Source organism: Homo sapiens, chromosome 11 (genome assembly GCF_000001405.40).
Source record: "Homo sapiens chromosome 11, GRCh38.p14 Primary Assembly".
NCBI classification, from domain to species: Eukaryota; Metazoa; Chordata; class Mammalia; order Primates; family Hominidae; genus Homo; species Homo sapiens.
This window is the reverse complement of record NC_000011.10, coordinates 46,933,608-46,958,344: the sequence shown is the minus strand read 5'-3', so window position 1 is coordinate 46,958,344 and position 24,737 is coordinate 46,933,608. Positions and strand designations below refer to the sequence as shown.

Sequence of the window (24,737 nt, the reverse complement as noted above, 5' to 3'; positions counted from 1 at the left end):
ACAATAAAGTAAGCTAGGGAAAAGAAAATGTTAAGAAAATTATGGGGCCAGGCGTGGTGGCTCATGCCTGTAATCCCAACACTGTGGGAGGCCAAGGCAGGAGAATCACTTGAAGCCAGGAGTTCAAGACCAGCCTGGACAACAAAGCAAGATCCCATCTCTACAATAATAATAATTTAAAATTTAAAAAAAAGAAAATCACAAGGAGAAAATATATTTACTATTCATTAAGTGGAAGTAGATCATTCATTATAAAGGTCTTCATCGTTGTTTTCACACTGAATAGGCTGAGGAGGTAGAAATGGAGGGGGTTGATCTTACTGTCTCAGAGGTGGCAAAGAAAATCTGTGTATAAGTGGATCACACAATTCAAATCCATGTTGTTCAAGGGTCAGCTGTATATCTATATAGCTATGTATCTAGGTCTTTACATATCCTATTAGTTCAGTTTTTCTGGGGAACTCTGGCTAATACAATAGATATTTTTGATATTCAACAAAAGGATTGGAAAGGTTAAGGATATTCATATAACATACAAAAATCAAAAAAGACAGAAAAGAGAAAACAAGAAAAATTAGAGCATAAATCCATAAGTCCAATGTCTAAGTAACAACAGTTCCAGAGATAGAACAGAGATGAGACAATATTAAACACATAATTCAAGAAAACTTCTCAGAACTGATATACATGAATTTCTACACTGAAAGGATCTCAAGACAATGAAAGAAGATCCACACCAATGTAAAACTACATGAAATATCACAAATCAGAATGGCATTAGATCACTCAATAGCAATACAGAAAGCTAAAAGATAGGGGAGAAATGCTTTAAAAATTCTAAGGGAAAATTATCTCCAACACAGAATTTTATATGTATCTAAACTATCAATCAAGGGTAAGGGTAGTATAAAGTCATTTTCATAAACAGAAGATTCCCTAAAATATTACTTTGCATGCACCCTTTCTCAGAAAGCTACTAGAGGATGCAATCTAATAAAAAGAAGGAACATGTAAGGAAAAAGGAAGACATAGGCTTTAGGAAATATGCACTAAAACTTACTTAAGCAAGACAAGTAATATCCATGTAAGGATGAAGAATGAAGTAATACCCATGATAAAGATGAAGGATTTAGAGAGCAACCAGGCCAGACTGAAGCAGGGGGACCAGTTAGATGAAGAAGTACTTCAGAAAAGTTACCTTGAAGAAAAGAAATTGAAACTGAGAGGATGCCTGATGTGTTTGAACTGACCTTAGGCTATAAAGTCTGGGGCACAAGTTCATCGAAAACCATGCACAAAAGGAAAGGCAATTATTAATTGCAGGAAAATGAAAAAAAATGTTCAAAAAGGAGAAATGTAATCATAGTATACTATATTATATATATTTTACATATATATGTTGTATACTGTGTGTATATATATATACATATATACTATGTATACGTGCATACATATGTATAATTTTCACAGTCATAATAAACACTGAATATTGATTTAACCAAAAATTATAATAATTTTGTTGGAAGACTAGGAAGAAGGGAAATTGAGTAGTATAAGAGACCTAAATCCTCATCTTCTATAATATAAAGTCATTAAATAATATCTAAAACTGAAAAATCAAGAAGAGCAATTTAAGCATGTTATTTTAAAGTACACAGCAAAAAAAAATTGTTTTTAATGCTGAAAAATTTGAAAATGGCCTCCTCGAAAAAGGGGGTTTCGTTTACATGCTGTGAGATCACCGCAAACCTACCTCACTGTGTTGAAACGGGACAAATACAATAGAACGCATTGGGTGGTGTGTGTCTGATCCTGGGTTCTTGTCTCCCCTAAATGCTGCCCCCCAAGTTACTGTATTTGTCTGGGCTTTGTAGGACTTCACTAAGTTGATTGCTAGGTGGCCTAGTTTGTGTAAATATAATGTATTGGTCTTCCTCCGTGTTCTTTGGGGGTTTTGTTTACAAAGTTCTTTTTGTATTGAGAGAAAAATAGCCAAAGCATCTTTGACAGAAGTTTCTGCACCAGGCAAAAAGATCTGAAACATTAGTTTGGGGGGCCCGCTTCTTAAAGTGGGGATCTTGAACCATCCTTTCTTTTGTATTCCCCTTCCCCTATTACCTATTAGACCAGATCTTCTGTCCTAAAAACTTGTCTTCTACCCTGCCCTCTTTTCTGTTCACCCCCAAAAGAAAACTTACACACCCACACACATACACATTTAATGCTTGGAGTGTCTCCACAACTCTTAAATGATGTATGCAAAAATCCTGAAGCTAGGAAAACCCTCCATCCCTTGTTCCCAACCTCCTAAGTCAAGACCATTACCATTTCTTTCTTTTTTTGGTGGGGGGGGGGGGGTGGATGGAGTCTCGCTCTGTCGCCCAGGCTGGAGTGCAGTGGCATGATCGGCTCACTGCAGCCTCTGCCTCTTGGGTTCGGGCGATTCTCCTGCCTCAGCCTCCTGAGTAGCTGGGATTTCAGGCACCCGCCGCGCCCAGCTAATTTTTTTATTTTTAGTAGAGACGGGGTTTCACCGTGTTGTCCAGGCTGGTCTGGAACTCCTGACCTCAGGTGATCTGCCCACCTTGGCTTCCCAGGGTACTAGGATTGCAGGCATGAGCCACCACGCTAGGCCGACCATTTCTTCATGTATTCATGCCAAACACTTAAGACACTGCTGTAGCCTGGGCGCAGTGGCTCACACCTGTAGTCCCAGCACTTTGGAAGGCTGAGGCGGGCGAATCACAAGGTCAGGAGTTCAAAACCATCCTGGCCAACACGGTGAAACCCCGTCTCTGCTGAAATACAAAAAAATTAGCCAGGTGTGGTGGCGCATACCTGTGGTCCCGGCTATTCAGGAGGCTGAGGCGGGGGAATCGCTTTAACCTGGAAGGCGGAGGTTGCAGTGAGCTGAGATCGCACCACTGCACTCCAGCCTGGTTACAGAGCAAGACCCTGTCTCGAAAAAAAAAAAACAAAAAAACAACAAAAAAAAAACCACACTACTGTATTTTGGATGGATCAAACCTACTTACTTTTAATTTCTAATCCTAAAGTAAAGAGATGCAATTGGGGGCCTTCCATGTAGAAAGTGGGGTCAGGAGGCCAAGAAAGGGAATATGAATGTATATCCAAGTCACTCAGGAACTTTTATGCAGGTGGTAGAAACTTATGTCAAAGTGGCCACAAGATTGTTTAATAGGAGATGAATGAATGTAACTCCATGTTTACTGCTAGAAACCAAAGCTTTGTGTAAAATCTTGAATTTATGGGGAGGGAGGGTAGGAAAGCCTGTACCTGTCTGTTTTTTTCCTGATCCTTTTCCCTCATTCCTGAACTGCAGGAGACTGAGCCCCTTTGGGCTTTGGTGACCCCATCACTGGGGTGTGTTTATTTGACGGTTGATTTTGCTGTACTGGGTACTTCCTTTCCCATTTTCTCATCATTTTTTAACACATGCTGACTCTTCCCTTCCCTTCTCCTTTCCCTGGGAAAATACAATGAATAAATAAAGACTTACTGGTACTCAAAAAAAAAAAAAAGAAAGAAAATGGCCTCCTCTGAGGAGTGAGACTTCGGGGTGAGAAGGTTATGGTGTAGGGTACTGCTTTTTTTTGTTATAACTCTTATAGACCCATTTGATTTTTAAAATTCTGTAGTTAAGAAACATAAACATCAAAAACTTTAAATCCAGCAATTCTTTGAACTTTCTTCAATGGAAGAAGTGGAATTTTGCGCTCTCTGGATTCTCCCTCTTCTTTTTTATTTTATTTTTTATTTATTTATTTATTTTTTCAAAACAGAGTCTCACTGTGTCGCCCAGGCTGAAGTGCAGTGGTACGATCTCGGCTCACTGCCACCTCTGCCTCCAGGGTTCAAGCGATTCTCCTGCCTCAGCCTCCAGGGTAGCCGGAATTATAGGCACCTGCCACCATACCCAACCAAATTTTGTATTTTTAGTAGAAATGGGGTTTCACCACATTGGCCAGGCTGGTCTCGAACTCCTGACCTCAAGTGATCCACCAGCCTCAGCCTCCCAACGTGCTAGGATTATAGGCATAAGCTACTGCATCCAGCCGAATCCTCCCTCTTCTTATGCATTATTTGTGACATCATGTTTTCCTAAAAGAGTTTTTCAACTGTTTCTTCTAATTATTATTTTGTAATGCTTTTGTATTTTTTCTTTTACCAATTCCCATAGTCAACTTTGCTCCTGTTAGCATTCTTAGTTACTTCTTTTTTTAAAATGATTTATGCAGCCTTACTTCACATGCTTTAATGTAGCTCAGAATACTTGTACTTGGCCCTAGTCGAGCTATCTTTCTTCTTTCCCCCAGTAGCTAATACAAACTTTCTTTGCTCTCCTCAAGCCTTTTACTTCTGCTTCCCTAACTCTAAGAAGATAATCTTGATTCTTACTTCAGACAAAGAAGAGGTCATCAGGTAAAGAACACCAATTTCTAGCTCCATTTCTAAGTTTAACCATGTCCTTCATCACCCTTACTTCCCACCTCTGTTGTTCAAATTTAATTACGCCATGTGAAGCGGTTTTAAGATCACCTTAAGACCTGATTTCTCACTTGGGAATTCTTCCTAATTGAGAAAATTCTTACTTATGAATTGCTTTCAAATATGGCAAAATGTCTGTCAATATTACATGTAATAATGAAAGTTGACATTATATTGTTTTATACATATATAATAAAACATATATCCATACTTTAGGGTTGATAAATTTTTTTTTAGGTCTCAAATATTTTCAAAGATCCCATAACAGTTTGTTGGTTAGGCACCACACAAACAGTGCCTTCTGGATAAATATGGTCCTGACTCCCAACTTCAAAATAGCCTTGCACCTCTGCCTTTGATCCTAAATTTCCTCGTACTTCTAAAAATGTTCCATCAAGTATTCATCATCCTTTCCTTCCCTTGGATCTTCCCTCTCTCCCTGTACAATGGTTCCTTTCCCTTCAGCCTAAAAACATACTCAAGTTTCTCCCATCTAAAAACTAAAAACAATAAACTCTCTCTTCCTCCTCTTGCTATCACCCCCTCTCCTCCTTTCCCTAATTGGTCAAACTTCTTGAAACGAATCTAGCCTATTCTCAACGCCTTCACCCTCCGATTTACTCTTCAATCCAGCAAAATCAGGCATCTTGCCACACTACTCCATGAAAACCTCCCTTAATGCCACTAACAACCTGCCTTGCAGCCCGTATCTTCTTTGACCTCTCTGAGGCATCTGGTATCATTGAACACTTCCTCCATCTTGAAACTCTCCACCCCCACGTCCCCAGTGTCTGTGGCACTGCCTTTTTCTCACTCTCCTCCTAAATCTCTTACAAATCACTCTCCAGTCTAGGAAGATAAATATCTTTCTTTATTGTAAAACTAGCTCTCTGGAAACAAGATTTTGGTTTCTACAATGGGTCTCTAACTCTCAATAGAAAAATAAAATTATTTAGCAGCAAAGTTACCTCCAACGCCCAGCAACAAACCAATTATAAAGAACTAAAAATTCTAAAATTACATGTTCTCACTAAGGTGAACGACTCACTAGAGTATAGAGAGGAACTATTCTGATTATTGGAAATGTTTACAAAGGACAGGAAGTGACACAGAGAAATGACAGGCAACATAAAGTTAAGAAAGAAAATAATAACCATTGTAAAAAGGGAGCAACTGAACTCAGAGACAGGGACCAAGGATAAAATAACTTTGTACTTCAAGAGGTAGAGGACAAAAACCAAATACTGACCAGCACATCTATGCTTCACCTGTGAATAAGGGCAAGCAGCTACCAACAATACAACTTGCCTTGAGTAGGGTAGATGTCTCCACCGCATATACTAGGTATGACAGATTTTTGTTTGTGTACCACCAAAAATACACTGCCATTCTTCTTGCACACGACTGTCCATTAGACTAAAATTCCCTGCCTCGTTGGCAGTTAGCAGGGACCTTATTAAGTTCTCACCTATGAAATGTGAGCACAAGTGATGTTTGCATCTTCGGCTTCACTTGCCTAAAAGGTCCTTGCCCTGGATTCACTGTTTCCCCTTTTACTGGCTGAAAATGGCTACAATTGAGGCAGCTTTGGAAACCATGTGTTTCAGACAGAATGACTGCTCTGCTAGCTGAAATCCAATGATGACTTCCTAAAGCAGACCCTGCCTTTCACATCCTGGATTTGGATTAAGTAAGAAAGAAAGAAAGTGCTTCTTGTATGAGCCATTGCACTGGGAGGGAGGGGGAGTTAAGTGGTGGAGGTTTTTTGTTTTGTTTTGTTTTTATAACACCAGCTCAGCCCTCACCCTAATACCCTGAGAGATTAGGAGCACCAAACCACCTGAAGCGCCAAACAAACCTCAGTAGACCTCAACAGCTTACTGACTCAGTAGGAAACATTAGTCTGGAGAGAAGGGAATGGTAAGTACTGGTGTGGGAGCAGGGAGATGTCTTCTTATTAATTAATAGCTATAAATTAGAATTTAACACTGAGTGGCACCTAAACCACTTAATTTCAAATTAGAAGAATTAGAATCAAATAACAGCTTCACTAACTGCTATCTATATAAATGGAAAATTTACTTAAGTTATTTGAGCCACCATTTCTTCTCATGCATAAAAAAAATAACATCCATCTTCATGGGTAACTGTTATAACACATTTATAGCACAATATAATAAATTAGGTCTAAAATAATGACACTACCTCACCAAGAAAATGTTAAATTATCTTCTATATATTAAAACAATCTGGCAGGGTATGGTGGCTCACGTCTGTAATCTCAGCACTGTGGGAGGCCAAGGCGGGTGGATCACCTGAGCCCAGGAGTTCGAGACCAGCCTGGGCAACATAACAAACAAAGAATTTAAAAATTAGCTAGGCATGGTAGCACACTCCTATAGTCCCAGCTACCTGGGAGGCTGAGGTGGGAGGATCACCTGAGCTCAGGAGGTCGAGGCTACACTGAGCCATGATCATGCCACTGCACTTCAGCCTGGATGACAGAGTGAGACCTTGTCTCAAAAAAAAAAAAAAAAAAAGAGTCTAAGGAATATATCATATATTCTGTAGAATTTTCTACTGAATTTAAGTTCTGACACTTAAATTTTTATTGAACTGAATGGGAAAGAAGGCTCTTAGAAATTACAAAACCTGAAAGAAAGTGGCTAACAATACTACTGGCTTTAGAGTCAGATAAACTTCATTCAAACTTCAGCTCCAGACATACTAGCTCAGTGACCTTGGACAAGTTATATAACTTAAATCCCAGTTTCCTCAAAGAAAAGTGGGATCAGCTGGTGTCTACCTGCTGTGAGGACTGAACGAGACTGCTGTCTCCTTCAGTCCTCCTGCATATGAGAATTACTCTAGATGGCATATGAAGAACACCTATTTGAAAACAGTTTCCAGGCCAGGCCTGGTGGCTCATGGCTGTAATCCCAGCATTTTGGGAGGCTGAGGCGGGTGGCTCATGAGGTCAGGAGTTCAAGACCACCCTGACCAACAGACCAGCCTGGCCAATATGGTGAAACCCTGTCTCTACTAAAAATACAAAAATTAGCCAGGCGTGATAGCAGGCGCCTATAATCCCAGCTACTCGGGAGGCTGAGGCAGGAGAATTGCTTGAACCCGGGAGGTGGAGGTTGCAGTGAGCCGAGATCGGGCCATTGCACTCCAGCCTGGGCAACAAAGTGAGACTCCACCTCAAAAAAAGAAAAAAGGAAAAAAGAAAACAGTTTCTACTTAAGACAGTATTTAGGCAGCTGTACTACTTAAAAGTTGAAATATTATCTCTGTATTAAAAAATATATATATGAGACATGATCCCTGCCTAAGGGATTAGAATTTAAAAGAAAGTCTTTAGGCCGGGCGCGGTGGCTCATGCCTGTAATCCCAGCACTTTGGGAGGCCGAGGCAGGCGGATCACAAGGTCAGGAGATCGAGACCATCCTGGCTAACACGGTGAAACTCCGTCTCTACTAAAAATACAAAAAATTAGCTGGGCGAGGTGGCGGGCGCCTGTAGTCCTAGCTACTCGGGAGGCTGAGGCAGGAGAATGGCGTGAACCTGGGAGGCGGAGCTTGCAGTGAGCCAAGATCACGCCACTGCACTCCAGCCTGGGCGACAGAGCGAGACTCCATCTCAAAAAAAAAAAAAAAGAAAAGAAAAAGTCTTTCCCCTTTTTGTGTCACCTAACAGCAAATGAAATCTGGGAAATGAAGTTACCCAAATACTACTAACTGTAATTGAAAACAAAAGATTAAATTCTGAACAGCCAAAGCTGTTTTTAATCACTTGGCTAAGTTTGAGAACTTTCCAGTTGGAGAGCCTGATGTCTGGTCCTTCAATAATAGTTATTTTCAGGCCGGGCACGGTGGCTCATGCTTGTAATCCCAGCATTTGGGGAGGCCGAGGCGGGAGGATCACTTGAGATCAGGAGTTTGAGACCAGCCTGGCCAACATGGCGAAACCCCCATCTCTACTAAAAATACAAAAATTAGCCAGGCATGGTGGCATGCACCTATAATTCCAGCTACTCGGGAGGCTGAGGCATGAGAATTGATTGCATGAACCCAGGAGGCAGAGGTTGCAGTGAGCTGAGATTGTGCCATTGCACTCCAGCCTGGGTGATGGAGCGAAACTCTGTCTCAAAAAAAAAAAAAAAAGTTATTTTCTCTTACCATCCTAGGAAAGATAAGAAAAAATTTATAATGTGAGACAAATTCAACCACTTCTTTTCCTTCTAAGTTTGTTTCTCATTTAGAAATATGATATCAAAAATAAATATTTATTGGAAGAACAAAGGTCAAAACAGTCCCTATGTTCAGGCATGGTAACAAAGATTAGCAAGACTCCAAAGGCTATTTGTAAATATACCCTTGAAAAGAAAAAAGGCAAGGCTGTTCTCCCTGAAGATTTAGCCTATCTTTTGCCTGTACATTCACTATTCTTTATCGTGCCAACCCTTGAAGAGAAGGCAAAGACTGCATATGTGAGACTTTAGAAGACAATCATGTTTCTAAACAGCAGGTCTGGTAGTTCATAGACTATCAAGAAAGACAATCAATTTTAGGTTTCATTAAATAGTTTACTCTTAAGATACTAGACGTATATTAATTAATTCAGCCTCTCAACCCTCTGTGAGGTAGCTTTTATCAACTCCATTTGTTGGGGAAATTTGATCAAGGAGAATAATAACAGTGTTTTCTATTTACAAAATACCTTCCCTATAAGGAACTCCACAAGTTTATCTTCTCAATCATCTTTCATTCCTGTGAGGTAGGTGGCAATATTACCTTTCCCACTTTTATAGGTGAAATGCTGTGGCTCAAGGAGCTTAATGACTTACTCACATGGTAGCCTGTATTTTATCCACTAACTAGAATGTACTCTTGAGATTAACACTAGACCATGGACTCAAGGCTTAACTGCACATAACTGACGTGTGGAGCTTCTAGTTTTCTCTATAGCCATCTTTCAATGCATCGCATTCCAAAAAGGACTGGAGTCATGCTTGCTGTTTAAGCTCATGTGTTCACTGTTTATGAAGTTTATTGTTATCATTTCTCTAAATTGGACTACTTAAGTTTCGTCTAGGTGCCCAAGGGCTAAATTATTTTTTGTTTACTGTCTGTGCACCAGCATTGTAAATGATGTCATGAGGAGTGTATAAAACTCTTAGACAAAGCAGCAGGGCCAATAAAAGCAGCTCACTTGGGGAAGAGTACATTTCTTCTTTCCTTTTTTTTTATGTAGCCATCACACAAAAAGATGACTCATTAAGTCCAAAAGAGGTGACTATGCCATGTAAGCACTTCTTACGCAGCCTTCCACAAAGAGACCTGAGTGGCAGCATAAGGCATCCTCTTCTGTGCAATTTCCTCCAGGCAGAATGTGCATTTGTGTGGCTATATACACAATTATAATCTCCTCTGAAAGGCAATTCCTTCCATATGACAGGCTGAACAGTGTCCTGAGTGCTAGCCTCATGTTGCCCAAGCAGTTAACATGCTGATATACCAGACACATTTAATCTCTCCTTTCTGAAAAACTAAGATGGGACAGAAGAGGCAAAGTTGGAAAGAACTCCACACAGAGAGAAAGGAGGCCAGCCCAAGCGCCCAAACTCACTTTCTCATGGGCTGAACTTCTTTGTGTGTTGCCTACTTACGTGTCAATTTGCAGGACTTTGGGGCATGAGAACCATGGAGCCGACCGGTTCTGGCAGCCTCTCCATTTGACAAGCAAAGCCGAAGACGTGTGGCCTTTCATATATCTTACATTCAAAAGTGTTATTGTTTCAAGCATGCCTATTTTAAAATACAGAATTTTCCCATTTAGAACAGGTCTTTGTAAGTTGGCCACAGGAGGAGTTCTGCCACATTAATTTAAAGGGAAAAAAAAAAAGTGGCAATGGGCCCTAATGCAGCTCTATCCCCGCCAGATGCCTCTGTTTACTTTGGGCCAATGGGACTGTCCCAGGTGAGAGAAGTCTGAATTTAAAAAACACCTGATCTGAAGTCCTGGGGCACAAGCAGATTTCTGTCTGAGATTACAGAAACTGAAGCTTGTGTTTTATCACAATTACCTGTAATCTCGGGGCTAGATAATAGTATTAACGAGACCTTGAGTTACACAATAGGACAGCTGGAAAAAAGGCTCTTACTTTCTCCAAAGAATAGTGCTTTAAAAGCTAATTGAATGAAGAAAAAGAACAGGCTCTGAAAGTGCTGTCTCAAACAATATTTACTTTTAGTAGGTTCCTGCTAATCAAACAAAACTTAGTCAAAAGCTTTCCATGAAAAAAATACATTTGATGATTTCAGCAGTAATTGCTTTGTTTAAAGAAAGGTGCTTAAGAAAAAACATAGCTAGTGGGATCAGTAATTTGTAAGTTCAGTTGTGTTTGGGAAAATCCCTCCTCTCTTTGATAAATCATTAAAATTCTGCTCAGATAAATGTGTTTTGACTTGAAATTCCAATCATAGAATGAGCTATTTCCTAAGGCCCCTAGGGAAGTAGTGTAAGGGTGATCCCAACACAGAAAGAGGACCCAGAGATTAGTTTACAAGGGTAATTCCAGTCTTAATCAAAGCATATCACTCTGTCCAACTAAAGGACAGGATCTCATTGAGATGCTCCAAAATTGTAGAAAATCTCCTTCCTTTTTAAAATATTGGTTTTACAAAATGGATTAAATTTTAATGTTATGTAACCCAAACACAGAAACTATGGTATCAACCAAGAAATTAACTTTAGGTATAAATCAGAGTTAAAACCGAAAAGATCCAGAGCAGATTTAATCATCCTTTTTCATTCATGGAAGGGGGGAAAAACATAGTTTCTCTCACATGTTAGGAATTCAGTAACTATTTGTTGAACTGGATTCCTTTCTCCCATTTATTTTAAAATTTATTCTGTTACTTAAAGTAGACCATTCATTCAACAACTGAGCACTTCATTTGGGCCAAGCATTGTGCTAGATTTTAGAGAGAAAAGGCCTGCCCTCATGGCTCACATTCTAATAAGAAACAGACAATAACCAAGTATACAAGTAGGTACACAAGATAACTCTGATAAGTGCTATGAAGGACATAAATAGGATGATGAACCAGAAATAGGATAATGGATCATGTCTCTTCTGCTCTACTATTATTTTTATTTATTTACTTATTTTTGAGATGGAGTCTCGCTCTGTCGCCCAGGCTGGAGTGCCGTGGTGCAATCTCGGCTCACTGCAAGCTCCGCCTCCCGGGTTCACACCATTCTCCTGCCTCAGCCTCGCGAGTAGCTGGGACTACAGGCGCCTGCCACCACGCCCGGCTAATTTTTTGTATTTTTAGTAGAGACAGGGTTTCACCGTGTTAGCCAGGATGGTCTCGATCTCCTGACCTCGTGATCCACCCGCCTTGGCCTCCCAAAGTGCTGGGATTACAGGCGTTGAGCCACTGCTCCCGGCCTGCTCTACTATTATTTTTAAAACTTCAATTTATCTACTCGGCCTCCTAGAATTATTCATTTAGCACATATTGCATTTGTGCAAATAAAAGTGATCCCCAACTTCTGAATAGCATTTGGAATAAAGATTTTAACATTACTTGAATATATAAATGATAAACAAAGTCAAAAATTTTAAAGCTATCTTAAAACCCCAGAATAACACTGACATCACTCTGCAATTTACTTTGGAGAAATGGAGGTAGGCAAGGGTTGGGAACAACATGGCTTAGAACTTACTGGCTCTTTTTTCCCCCCAACAAAAAGATATTTATTTATTACATGTATTAAATAGGTTACAGAATCTTTGGAAAAGGAAAAAAATCTAGATCGACCTTCCAGGAACAACTCCCAAAAGGCCCATTCCAGAACTAGGCTACCAAGGGAACTGCTGTCCCTTCCATGACTGAGAAGCTGCTGACCAAACTGAGAAAAGGCCAAGATAGCTGCTGGCTCTAGAACCATATAGGTCACATACTCTTTACTTATTATACTGTCTTTTTATGTTATGGTCATTTATGAATATGTCCCATCTCCCATCTACTGTGTAAGTTTCCTGTGGGGAGGGATGCTTTATATTCATATATTCATGCCTGGCTTTATATAGAGAAGGTATTCAGGGAGGAAGAAAAGGAAGGAGAAGGGTAGGGGGAGGAAAAGGAAAGAAAGAGGTGACTTTGTGAACATGTTCATAATTATTTTATTTATTTATTATTATTATTTTGAGACAGAGTCTTGCTCTGTCGCCCAGGCTGGAGTGCACTGGCGTGATCTCAGTGGACTGCAACCTCTGCCTCCCGGGTTCAAGCGATTCTCATGCCTCAGCCTCCCAAGTAGCTGGGACTCCAGGTGCGCACCACCATGCCCAGCTATTTTTCATATTTTTAGTAGAGACAGGGTTTCACCATGTTGGCCAAGCTGGTCTCGAACTCCTGACCTCAAGTGATCTGCCCGCCTCAGCCTTCCAAAATGCTGGGATTACAGGCATGAGCCACCGCACCTGGCCCATAATCATTTCAAAGTGACCAGTTTTATGTATTATAAACCTAGTTTCCAAAGATTTAGGAAGTCAGTTTAACACCTATTTTATTTCATTTCCTTTCTGCAGCAACCAAACACTTTAAGGCCCTAAGAGAATTTCTGCTAACTTACTGTAAACAGCAATATTTCCTAGAATAGAATTGGGTTTGGAAGGCTCACTAGTTATATTCAAATAAAAATAAGTTTATCAGGATTCATTCAAAATCAAAAAATAGAATGTGTCTGGAAGTCAGACAAGTAACTATCATATGCTGTGGTATCAGCAAATACAAAAAAAATTAAGATTAGTAACACTTATCTTCCACATAGAAGGGGTCCTATGTCAGAACCTTTGCCAAGTCCTAAAGAAGTTGTATTAACCTCATGGCTGGAAGAGACTATATCAGTAACTGTTAGATGTTGTCTTAGCTCAGATACTGTGAGAAACAGACACCAAAACAGGATCAGACATGCGAGAGATGTACTGGGGGAAACGCCCATGATAGAAAATGGGAAGGAAGCCGGAGGAGTCTGGGAGAGCTAAGAGATCAAATGCAGGTGTGACCCTAATTTATTATCCCTCCTTTAGGAGGGACCCTAATTATTATCCCTCCTTTAGGAGGGAGAAGGGAGAATGAGGGACTTAGCAGTGTGCAGTGAGAGTCTTTAAGCCAAAGTCACCCACTAGAGGAGTAAAACATCTCATGGAAGTGGGTCTGTCCTGCCCAGTCATTGACTAGGAGCAGTCTGTGGAAAGTGTGACCTCAGTGTGAACAAGGTGTTAGATTCAGAGCTGGGGTCAGGAGTCAATTACCCTCCCCTCCCCAGTGTAGGAGATCTGAGAGGCACACATTCCTGGTTGCCACCAGATGTTTACGTATTTGCACAAAAATATGGTAATAACACTAGCAGCTAATATTTATTGAGCACCTACACAGGTGCTCTAACAGGATAAATGCTTACATGTATGAGGCAAGCACAATTTTTTTTTTTTTTTTTTTGAGAAGCAGTCTCACTCTGTCACCCAGGCTGGAGTGCAGTGGTGAGATTTCAGCTCACTGCAGCCTCCTCCTCCCGGGTTCAAGCAATTCTCGTGTCTCAACCTCCTGAGTAGCTGGGACTATAGGAACACACCCCCACGCTCTGCTAATTTTTGCATTTTTAGTAGAGATGGGGTTTCACCATTTTGGCCAGGCTGGTCTCGAACTCCTGACCTCAGGTGATCCACCCGCCTCGGCCTCCCAAAATGCTGGGATTATAGGCATGAGCCACCATGCCTGGCCTTTTTTAAATTTTTTGAGAAAGGGTCTCACTTTGTCACCCAGGCTGGAGTGCAGTGGTGTGAAAACAGCTCACTGCAGCCTTGACCTCCTGGGCTCAAGCCATCCTCCCACCTCCGCCTCCTGAGTAACTGGGACTACAGATGCATGCTGTTGCACCCAGCTATTTTTTTTTTATTTTTAGTAGAGACGAAGTCTCACTATGTCCCATTGGTCTCAAACTCCTGGGCTCAAGCAATCCTCCCTCCTTGGCCTCCCACAGTGCTGGGAATATAGGCGTAAGCCACCATGACTGTACTATTACCACCCACATTTTGGAGATGTGGAAACTAAGGCACAGAGAGGTTAAGTGATTTCTTCTAGGTCATACAGCTACCCAAAGTACAAAGATGATTGTCAATAAAATTCTCCCAAATGGTAGAAGTTATCTTCCTCACTGCCTGCCTCTGAGAGATGAGTCCAGTGGCAAGAAGAAATTGGAAATTTTACCATTCCCTGATCCATCCTCATTCCTCGGATGCCTCCTCATGGCAGAAATGTTAAATGAAGACACTGGAATCACTTGACCTTACTCCAGGATCCACGTATAGGTCTACACAATAGTTGGAGCCCCACTTTGGGAGTTGCTCAAAGTATTTATAGCATAGAGTTTAACCATGTGGACTTCAATTAGACTGCTGGGTTAGAATTCTGGATCCACCACTTACAACTTGTTATTTGGTATCTTTGTGTGTAGTTTCCTCATCTGCCGAATGGAGATAACAACTGAAACTATCTTCATATACATCAATATATGTAAAGCATTTAAAATGGTACCTGGTACAGAGTAAGTTCTTAATAAGTCTCGGTTGCTTTTGTTAGCTACTCATGTTTAGGGTACCCTAAGGTCAGATTATTCATATTCCATTTCACATATACGTATGAATTAAGTGTAGGAGAGTATACAATGATAGAAGGTATACAGTGATAGAAGGTAGACAATGATAGAAGGTTGACAATGATGAGTAAAACACAATTCTTGTTCCCAAGAAATTTATTTGCAAGAGCCTCATCCTTAATAAGGAAGCAAGAATTACTGCCCTTTGAACCAATAGGGGTTTTTTGGTTTGTTTTTATCTTTTTAGTGAAGAGGAAAAAACACAAGCTGTGGAATATGACAAACCTGGGTATGAACCCCTGTTTACTATGCATCATTGCCTGTGTGACCTTGTGCAAATCAATTAGCCTTTCTAAGCCTCAGCTTCCTTATTTATAAAATGAGAAGATGATATTAATAACTACTAATTGGGACCAGTAAGAGTACCCACTTCATATGGTAGTTGTGAAAATTAAATGAGATAAACCACAGTGCCAGGCATATAGGAAGAGTTCAAAAACTATAGCTTAAAAAAAAAACTACCCAATTTATTGTGATTCTTCTAAATGTCTAGTCCCCAAAGGAGAAAGGCCATCTTTGATTTCTAGAGTTATCTATTATACTAACCCACTATCAACCGTAGTGAGAATAAGCAGGTTCCATGGAAAAGAAGAGGCAACTTGGAGCGTGAGTGAAAGCATGCACCTCACCAAATTAGGTGGAGTAAAAAATAAACCTCACGCCCTCATGCTTATACTCAGGTCAGCACGTAGGTGGTATGTTTGGCAAACCTGGGACCAGAACAGGCTGCCCTTTGGCTCTAGAGAGCTCGCCACACCCAACCAGATACACAGACACACCTTCAGCCTCTGGCAGAAGCTTCCACTAAGTAGGTTTCATAAGGCTGGAAACCTTTTGCGGGTCCTACAGAGAGGGTCTATACTTATTTCATCTCCTTACCAGACTCTCCTTTCTCTCTTCAGGCCTAGGCATTAACACAATTTTTATCACTACATTCTGATGACTGCAGACATGAACATCACTAAGCTATTCTTTAGTGATGATCTTAAGATCTTAAGCCATGCAAGGCCATGATTACAGGTTCCTAATCTACAAAGTCAGTGGGGAAAGGATCAGTTTACCCAACATGATAAAAGATTGATTTCTTCACTAATAGTCAGAAAGGTAAATACAATCCCTAGCTAGCAGGGAGAAAGGGATATCTCTAGATATTCTTTGGATAGGTATCCCTGTAATTTACACCATAATCCTAAAGAGAGGTCTCCAGATACACTAACCAAGGGGAACTCAACTTTAGCTTTTGGGTTTCACTGAATGCCTAGGGCTTTCCAGTCTGCAGTTTTGTTTTCTCTATAAGTATAGTCTTCTTTAGGCTTACACATACAAGTAACTTTATAATGTATAAAAATAAAAACAAATGGAAAAATCACAGGTATTTAAAAATTTAAATCAGGAAATATTTTATTAATCTATTCTGTAGGGAGTGGTTTTAAACGGTCATTAGATTGAGGGTGAATAGGTTGGCCAGGCGTGGTGGCTCACACCTGTAATCCCAGCACTTTGGGAGGCTAAGGTGGGTGGATCACCTGAGGTCAGGAGTTCGAGACCAGCCTGGCAAACATGGTGAAACTCTGTCTCTACTAAAAATACAAAAATTAGCTGGGCATGGTGGCAGGTGCCTGTAATCCCAGCTACTTGGGAGGCTGAGACACGAGAATCACTTGAACCCTGGAGGCGGAGGTTGGAGTGAGCCAAGATCACATCATTGCACTCCAGCCTGGGTGACAGAGCGAGACTCCGTCTCAAGAAAAAAGAAAAAAAAAATTGAGGGTGAATAGGTCAAAGCAGCATGCCTCTAAGAGAGACAAATTGTAAAAGGCAGGGATAGTTCTCAACTAAAGACAAACGCATTTCAGCAGAGTGATACGGTTTGATGAACCAGGAGAAGGCAGTGAGGGGTGTGACCATGCTGAGGGCAGTATGAATGTCTAGTTAGTGGTTAGGACAAGGAATTAAGACACTTAAATATGCAACAAAGCATGAAGAAGCATTTGTATAGGATTCAATTATTAGGTGATTGGTTGGGCTTCACAAACATTGAAGCTTTTTCAACCAACCTGAGACTCTGATTCTGTTTGTAGATTCATTCTCAACACTGCCACTGAATTGGCCTTCCTGAAAACGCCATTTATGAAGAGACCACCAACTTCTATTCACCAAGGCACCAATACACCAAATCTGCCAAGCCTTTGAGACATAAAATTCAAACAGCAAACACCCAAGGAACTGAACAATGAACTAGCCTTTTCAAATATTTCATATATTCATTGAGTACTGGGTAATAAAATACATAAAATCTTTGGAAAAAAGTCTAGGCATTGCTTGACATTGATACTGTTATTCATTAGATACAAAATTGTCTGTGATATCCCCTTTTAGCTGATTAATGGATGTGGTCACTGTCTTAAGCTCTCTCTCTATATATATGTCTATATATATGTTCATGTATATATGTGTATATATATAGCTTTCAAAGACCAATCAGCCCTTAAACTTGGTAAAAAGGCACTCAACTTCATTTAAAAATGCATATTAAATCTACTCAGACTATCTGTCACTTAGATTGAAAAAAATCCAAGTTTGATGTATTTTGTTGTCAGCACAATGGGGAAACAGGCATTCTCTTTCATTGCTGGTGGCAAAATGGTACAACACCTATTAAGGGCAATCTGACAATATCTATAAGTACTTCAATGCATATGCCCTTAATCCACCAATTCCACTTTGTGGAACTTATTCTTGCAGATACACTTGCAAAGGAACAAAACTGCAGGTTATTCATTGCAGCATTCTTAGTAACAGCAAAAGGCTAAAAACAACTTGTTTACCAGTGCGGGACTGGTTAAATAAATTATTTAAATACTATATAGCTAAAAATGAATTTCATGAAGAACGAAGAAGCTCCCTACTGACTGAGAAATTACTTCGAGGCCAGGCGCAGTGGCTCACGCCTATAATCCCAGGACTTTGGGAAGCCAAGGTGGGCAGATCGCTTGAGCTCAGGAAGTTCAAAAGCAGCCTGGGCAACATGGAGAAACCCTATCTCTACCCAAAATACAAAAACTTAGCCAGGTGTGGTGGCTCGTGCCTGCAGTTCCAGCTACTTGAGAGGCTGGGGCAGGAGAATGGCTTGAACCCAGGAAGTGGAGGTTGCAGTGAGCCGAGATGGTGCCACTGCACTCCAGCCTGGGTGACAGAGTGAGACTCTGTCTCAAGAAAGAAAGAAAAGAAAAAACAAAAGAAACGGAAATTACTTCAAGATGTATTAAATGAAAAAGTATGCACTGTATACTCCTTTATGTATATAATAAACTCTGGAAAGATACACAGGAAAACAATAATAGTGGTTACTTTTGGGAGGCTGAGGATGGATGGAAACTGGGCAGATGGAGGCAAAGGGGTAGGCTTTTCACTAAAAACATCTACCTATCTATCTATCTATCTATCTATCTATCTATCTATCTATCTATGCATTTTAGAGGCAGGGTCTCACTCTATCATCCAGTCTGGTCTTGAACTCCTGACCTCAAGCAATCCTCCTACGTCAGCCTCCCAAAGTATTGGGATTACAGGCATGAGCCACCATGCCAGGCCTAAAAAATACTTTGAATCAAGTTTCCATATTACCAACCTTAAAAAATATTTTAAAATTAATTTTTAAAATAAGTTAAACAAAATGTAAACCAGAATTGTTTTTCATTTAAAAAGATGTTGGCTGGGCGCGGTGGCTCACGCCTGTAATCCAAGCAGTTTGGGAGGCCGAGGTGGGTGGATCACCTGAGGTCAGGAGTTTGAGACCAGCCTGACCAACATGGAGAAACCCATCTCTACTAAAAATACAAAATTAGCCAGGCGTGGTGGCGCATGCCTGTAATCCCAGGTACTAGGGAGGCTGAGGCAGGAGAATCACTTGAACCCAGGAGGCGGAGGTTGGGGTGAGCCCAGATCGCATCATTGCACTCCAGCCTAGGCAACAAGAGTGAAACTCCATCTCAAAAAAAAAAAAAAAAAAAAAAAAAGATGTAAGCCAGGTGCAGTGACTCACACCTGTAATCTCAGTACTTTGGAAGGCCACAGTAAGAGGCTTGCTTGAGCCCTGGAGTTCAAGACCAACCTGGACAACATAGTGAGACTCTTTCTCTACAAAAAATTAAAAAATTAACCAGGGATGGTGGCATGTGCCTGTAGTCCCAGCTACTTGGAAGGCTGAGGTAGCAGGATCACTTGAGCCCGGAGGTTGAGGCTGCAGTGAGCCGTGATAGTGCCACTGCACTCCAGCCTGAGTGACAGTGCCAGACATTGTCTCAAAAAAAAAAAAAAAGAAGAAGAAAAAAAAAAAAGATGTGCATGGTACATCCATACAATGGAATATTATTCAGAAATAAAAAGAAATGAGTTATCATGCCACAGAAAGACATGGAGGAAACTTAAATGCTTACTGCTAAGTTAAAGAAGCCCATCTGAAAAATTTACACACTGTATGACTCCAACTACATGATATTCTGGAAAAGGCAAAACTTTAGAGACCATAAGATCAGTGGTTGGCAAGGGCTGCAGGGGGAGGGAGAAGGATCAATAGGTGGAGCACAGGGGATTTTTCAGGACAGTGAAACTATTCTGTATGATAATGGAATGGTGAATACATGACATGCATTTATCAAAACCCACAGAACTGAACAACACAAAGAACCCTAATGTAAACTATGGACTTTAGTTAATAATATGTATCTATAATAATATATCTATATAATAATAATAATATATAATATATTATTATATATTATAAATATATATGTTTATCCATTGTAACAAATGTACCACACTAATGCAAGATGTAAATAATAGCGGAAACTGTGAGTGAGGGAGACCCAAGGTATATGGGAACTCGCCGTACTATCTGCTCAATTTTCTGTAAACTTAAAACTTCTCGCCATGTGCAGTGGCTCACGCCTGTAATCCCAACACTTTGGGAGGCCGAGGTGGGCGGATCACCTGAGGTCAGGAGTTTGAGACCAGCCTGACCAACATGGTGAAACCCCGTCTCTACTAAAAATATAAAATTAACCTGGCGTGGTGGCGCATGCCTGTAATCTCAACTACTCGGGAGGCTGAGGCAGGAGAATCGCTTGAATCCGGGAGGCAGAGGTTGCAGTGTACTCCAGCCTGGGCAACAGGAGAGAAACTCTGTCTCAAAAAACAAAACAAAACAAAACAAAACGTCTTTAAAAAAATAAAAGTCTATGAATTATTTAAAATGTGTATTGTGGCCGGGCGCGGTGGCTCACGCCTGTAATCCAAGCACTTTTGGAGGCTGAGGCGGGCAGATCACGAGGTCAGGAGATCGAGACCATCCTGGTTAACACGGTGAAACCCCGTCTCTATTAAGTATACAAAAAAGTAGCCGGGCGAGGTGGCGGGCGCCTGTAGTCCCAGCTACCCGGGAGGCGGAGCTTGCAGTGAGCCAAGATCGCGCCACTGCACTCCAGCCCGGGCGACAGAGCTAGACTCCGTCTCAAAAATAAAATAAAATAAAATGTGTATTGTGTGCATATGTGTGTGTGTGTACATATCTATGCGTGTGTGTGCCTTTTTTCATTCATTAAATGCCTTATACACTAAAGATGCTCAACAAAGTACTACATATACAGTCTTAGCTCAAGAGCCAAGTCAATATCTCAAGTTCTGTTGGAGTGGGCAAATCCGGTTCTGATCCTAGCGCTACCATTTTCTAGCTGTGTGGCCTAACTTAACGCAAGTTACCTCTTCAGCCCCAGTTTCTCCACCTGCAAAACTGGAAGAAAACACGGTAATTCCTCCTAGGGCTGTTGAGAAATTCAAATGAAGAATGATGCATGAAAAATGCTTAGCACAGTGCCTAATGAAAAAGAAAAGCTCGAAATGTTCGCTGACTGATTTGGCACTTGAGGTTCCAAGGTTATTCTTACTCCACTACCAGCATATCAATAATACCCCAACAGGGCCCCAAATCCTCAACGCCAACCTGACCCATTTGAACACAATCCACATTGCCTGAGTTCCAGCCCCTACACTTCAAACATTCTTTACTTCCCAGGTGCTTTTTTCCTTCCTGCTCGGCCTTACAGGCTCAGGCCCTGGAACCCCCGCCTCTCCGCCCCTCCCCATACCACCCGGACCCGATCCCACTCAGACCCCGCCCCCGCCTCCTCCCAGACCCTGGCCTAATTCGTCTGCACGTCTTTCCCTCCCCAAAGTTAAAGGGGGTTCCTACCCAGATACTCGTAGTCCGGTAGGGCTAGGCGCTCCGGACTCAGCATCCTTTGACCGGGGTGGCTTCAAAGCTCCAGCTCTCCGGCTTCCGGAACCCAGGTTGCCGTCTCTCTCCGTTGCCATGGCACCCACGCGGCGGAAGGGGGACGGGAGCTGGAGGAGGTGTCACACAAACAGTCTCCGTGTCGCAAAGTGGAGCTGGCCACTCAAGTTCCGGGGGCAGTCGCTTCACGATGGTCCAGGTTTCTTTGGACTCCCATTCTTGAAGACTTGGTTTTAGAGGAATCTGAGATGAAGAATTCTTTTGAATCCGTTATGTTTCCCAGTGTCGAAGAATTACTGTCAGCCGCCCATATACGCAGTTTCTGAATTTCATAACTATCCCTGCTTTTATACACTGTTTATCCTAACTCAGTAATAGCCCCCGCCCTTTGGCCCCCATAAACACTTAGTATCCCATTAGCTATTTTTATCTCTTTGGTATTTACTATCTTAAATTGCTACAAAGTGCTTACGTATGCATATACCCTGGATGCTTCTAGAGGTCAGAGATGTGTCTTTTCTGCCTATGACGGCTGGACACACAAAAGGTACTCATTAAGTCCTCTGAACTAATTGCCATTTCTTCTCAATTCTCACTCAGTCGCCCAGGCTGGAGTGCAGTAGCGTGATCTCGGTTCATTGCAACCAGCGCCTCCCGGGTTCAAGCGATTCTCCTGCCTCAGCCTCCCAAGTAGCTGGGATTACAGGCGCCCGCCACTCCGCCTGGCTAATTTTTTGTGTTTTTAGTAGAGATGGGGTTTCACCATGTTGGCGAGGCTGGTCTGCAAACTCTTGACCTCAGGTGATCCGCCGACCTCAGGTGATCCGCCTGCCTCAGGCCTCCCAAAGTGCTGGGATTACAGGCGTGAGCCACCGCGCCCAGGCTCAATTCCTTTTTATCTTTGGTTCTTCTTTCTATTCCTAGCCCTTACTATTTGGTACCTTTCCCAGGTGTCTTTCCTTTTTCCTACCAAGACATTGCTCTTCTTGAGGGAGAGGGGCTGCAGAAACGAGGACACCAGTTAGATTTTTTTCCCTATATGCCCAATTGCTCACTTCTTCTTTAAGAGAATATTCACTGGTTTTCAAGTTCCTAAATATTTCTTTTCGCCCCTCTCCACTCCTGACAACAGGTCAGAGATCTGTAGCACTAGACACAGTTCAGACATAGCAGAAAAAGCCACTCTGTCCTCACTTTTTTAGTGCCCTCCCCCTCCAACAAGGTGAGGTTTGTGAAAAAGAGACAAAGAAAACAAAATCAAGCTATCAAAGGAATGACTGGGAAACCAGTAGACCACCTACACTGGGAGGAAAAGGAAAGAGGAGGTTCTTCTCTTTGTGTTCCGAGTGGCCTATTCTTAGCGTCCTCCAGTAAGGAGCCTCAAACCTCCTAATTCTTGCTTTCCCTTAAAATTGTATATGTGTCTCAATTCTAGGCTCCTGTGAGTCACTCTAAGTTTGGATGTGGTGAGGTTAAAAGGACAGAGCCAAAGTAGGAGCAGGGCTTAGTGTCTTGAGGCAAATTTACTAATTTGGTATTTGGTGTGAAGTCCAGCAAATCTGATTTTTTTTTAATTGCCTTCTTATCTGCTTCCCCCATCTAGCTTGAGGTTATGGGAGGTTCATATGTTCCATAACTGTGGCTTTTTACTATTTTATTAATAAGGTAATACCATAGTAATTATTAAGTGATAATTTTACTTTATTCCCAAGCAACTTGTAGCTATTTGCAAATAATCTTATTTGTCCTCATAAAAACTTTCTGCTGAGGTGGGCGGATCACGAGTTCAGGAGTTCGAGACCAGCCTGGCCAATATGGAGAAACCCCATCTCTACTAAAAATACAAAAATTAGCCAGGCGTGGTGGCGCACGCCTGTAATCCCAGCTACTCAGGAGGCTGAGGCAGAAGAATCACTTGAACCGGGGAGGCAGAAGTTGCAGTGAGCCAAGATCGCACCACTGCACTCCAGCCTGGGCGACACAGCGAGACTCCGTCTCAAAAAAAAAAAAAAAAAAAAAAAAAAAACCTTTCTAAGGCACTTTTCCATTTTCTAACTAGGGAAACTGAGGCACAAGTCACAACAGTGACTTGTCTAGTGACTTGTCTAGCATCATGCAGCCACATAGTGGTAGAGCTACAACTGGATCTCAGCTATCCCAACATCCAGGCCAGTGGTCTGACCACTAAACCACACAGTCTCTTTTTTTAGGGTTTGTTGACCTGGCTTTTATTTATTTATTTTTCCTTTTGCTCTGCCCTGCTAGCAACTGGAAGCTCCCAGATAGAAGAAGATAATGTTGAGTCCAGGCTGAACATTTGACATCGTCTTATTTGTGGAGCATTATCCTGGGACTTGGCGGGTGCTGGCTGCTGGGGTCTGTGTGGTGGAGCTGGGAACCAGCCCCAAGAATATAGCTTTGTTTGGGCATTAACCCATTTGTGGTTATAATAATGATAAGTTTCAGCACCAGTGGCGCCCGACTGTTAATGACTCAAAGAAGGCTAAATAAGAACAAGATGTCATCTCTGGAGCAATTTGTAGGTTTTTCCTACAGTTCCATCCCTTCCATAAAAATCCGAAGGACCCCTGTATTCAAAGTCAGTCTTCCACTCTGAATGTCCTGAACAGTCTATTGAGGAGGAGGACTTAGAAAAGTAGGAGGTTGCTAGAGTAAGGCTTCACAAAAATTTGAAGTTTCACCGAAATAACAGGTGGCCTTACTGGTAGTGGAATTACTGACTGTTTACATTTTTCTTCTTTATATTTTTCTATAGTCTTAAACTTTCTATAATAGGCATGTATTATAACCTGAAAACAAATAATAAATGAGTGGCCTGAAAATCTTTAAAATTTTTTAAGCAGATGTGATGACCTTCCAGACAGTGTTTGTTTTTCCCAAAAAGAAGCCACTGCTAGATTTCTCTTCTGTCACAGATTACATGATAATAGATTTTTGAAACACATTGGTTATTGGTGAAATTTTTCAATGAAACATACACTACATCAGTCTTAAGAAGAGTAGAAATATATAAGAGTTGTTAAAATTAAGTGTATTTTTTGTGACTTGAATGTGAAAGAAAGAAAAAAAATGTCAGCCTTTGATTTAAATTGACTTTTCAGGTTCTTAACTTATCATAATATATTTCTTAAAAATTTACCAAAAAAAAAAATCACCGAGGTAAATCGGTAAGTCAGAAGAC

At 41.3% G+C, this 24,737-nt stretch overlaps 1 protein-coding gene across 7 annotated transcripts in view, besides 1 other annotated feature; it reads right to left on the bottom strand.

Annotated features, from left to right (window-relative positions):
- CSTPP1 (centriolar satellite-associated tubulin polyglutamylase complex regulator 1) overlaps positions 1-21,656 on the bottom strand; it is a 227,697-nt gene extending 206,041 nt beyond the window's left edge. For 6 of the 7 annotated variants that reach the window (NR_103471.2, NR_103472.2, NM_001003678.3 and 3 more), the window contains exon 1: positions 21,494-21,584. Coding sequence is in view for 5 of the 7 variants with exons in the window: in NM_001003678.3 (NP_001003678.1) it covers positions 21,494-21,539 (46 nt within the window). In the remaining 2 variants the exon portion in view is untranslated. Of the gene's footprint in view, positions 1-21,493 lie in introns of all 7 variants that reach the window. The other variant, NM_001278222.1, reaches the window with a different exon arrangement.
- Positions 21,517-21,726: an enhancer, noted in NCBI's record as "active region_4686". NCBI's record gives its function as "activates an Ori minimal core promoter by ATAC-STARR-seq in GM12878 lymphoblastoid cells {active_cell/tissue: GM12878}" and the evidence as "EXISTENCE:reporter gene assay evidence [ECO:0000049][PMID:35858748]".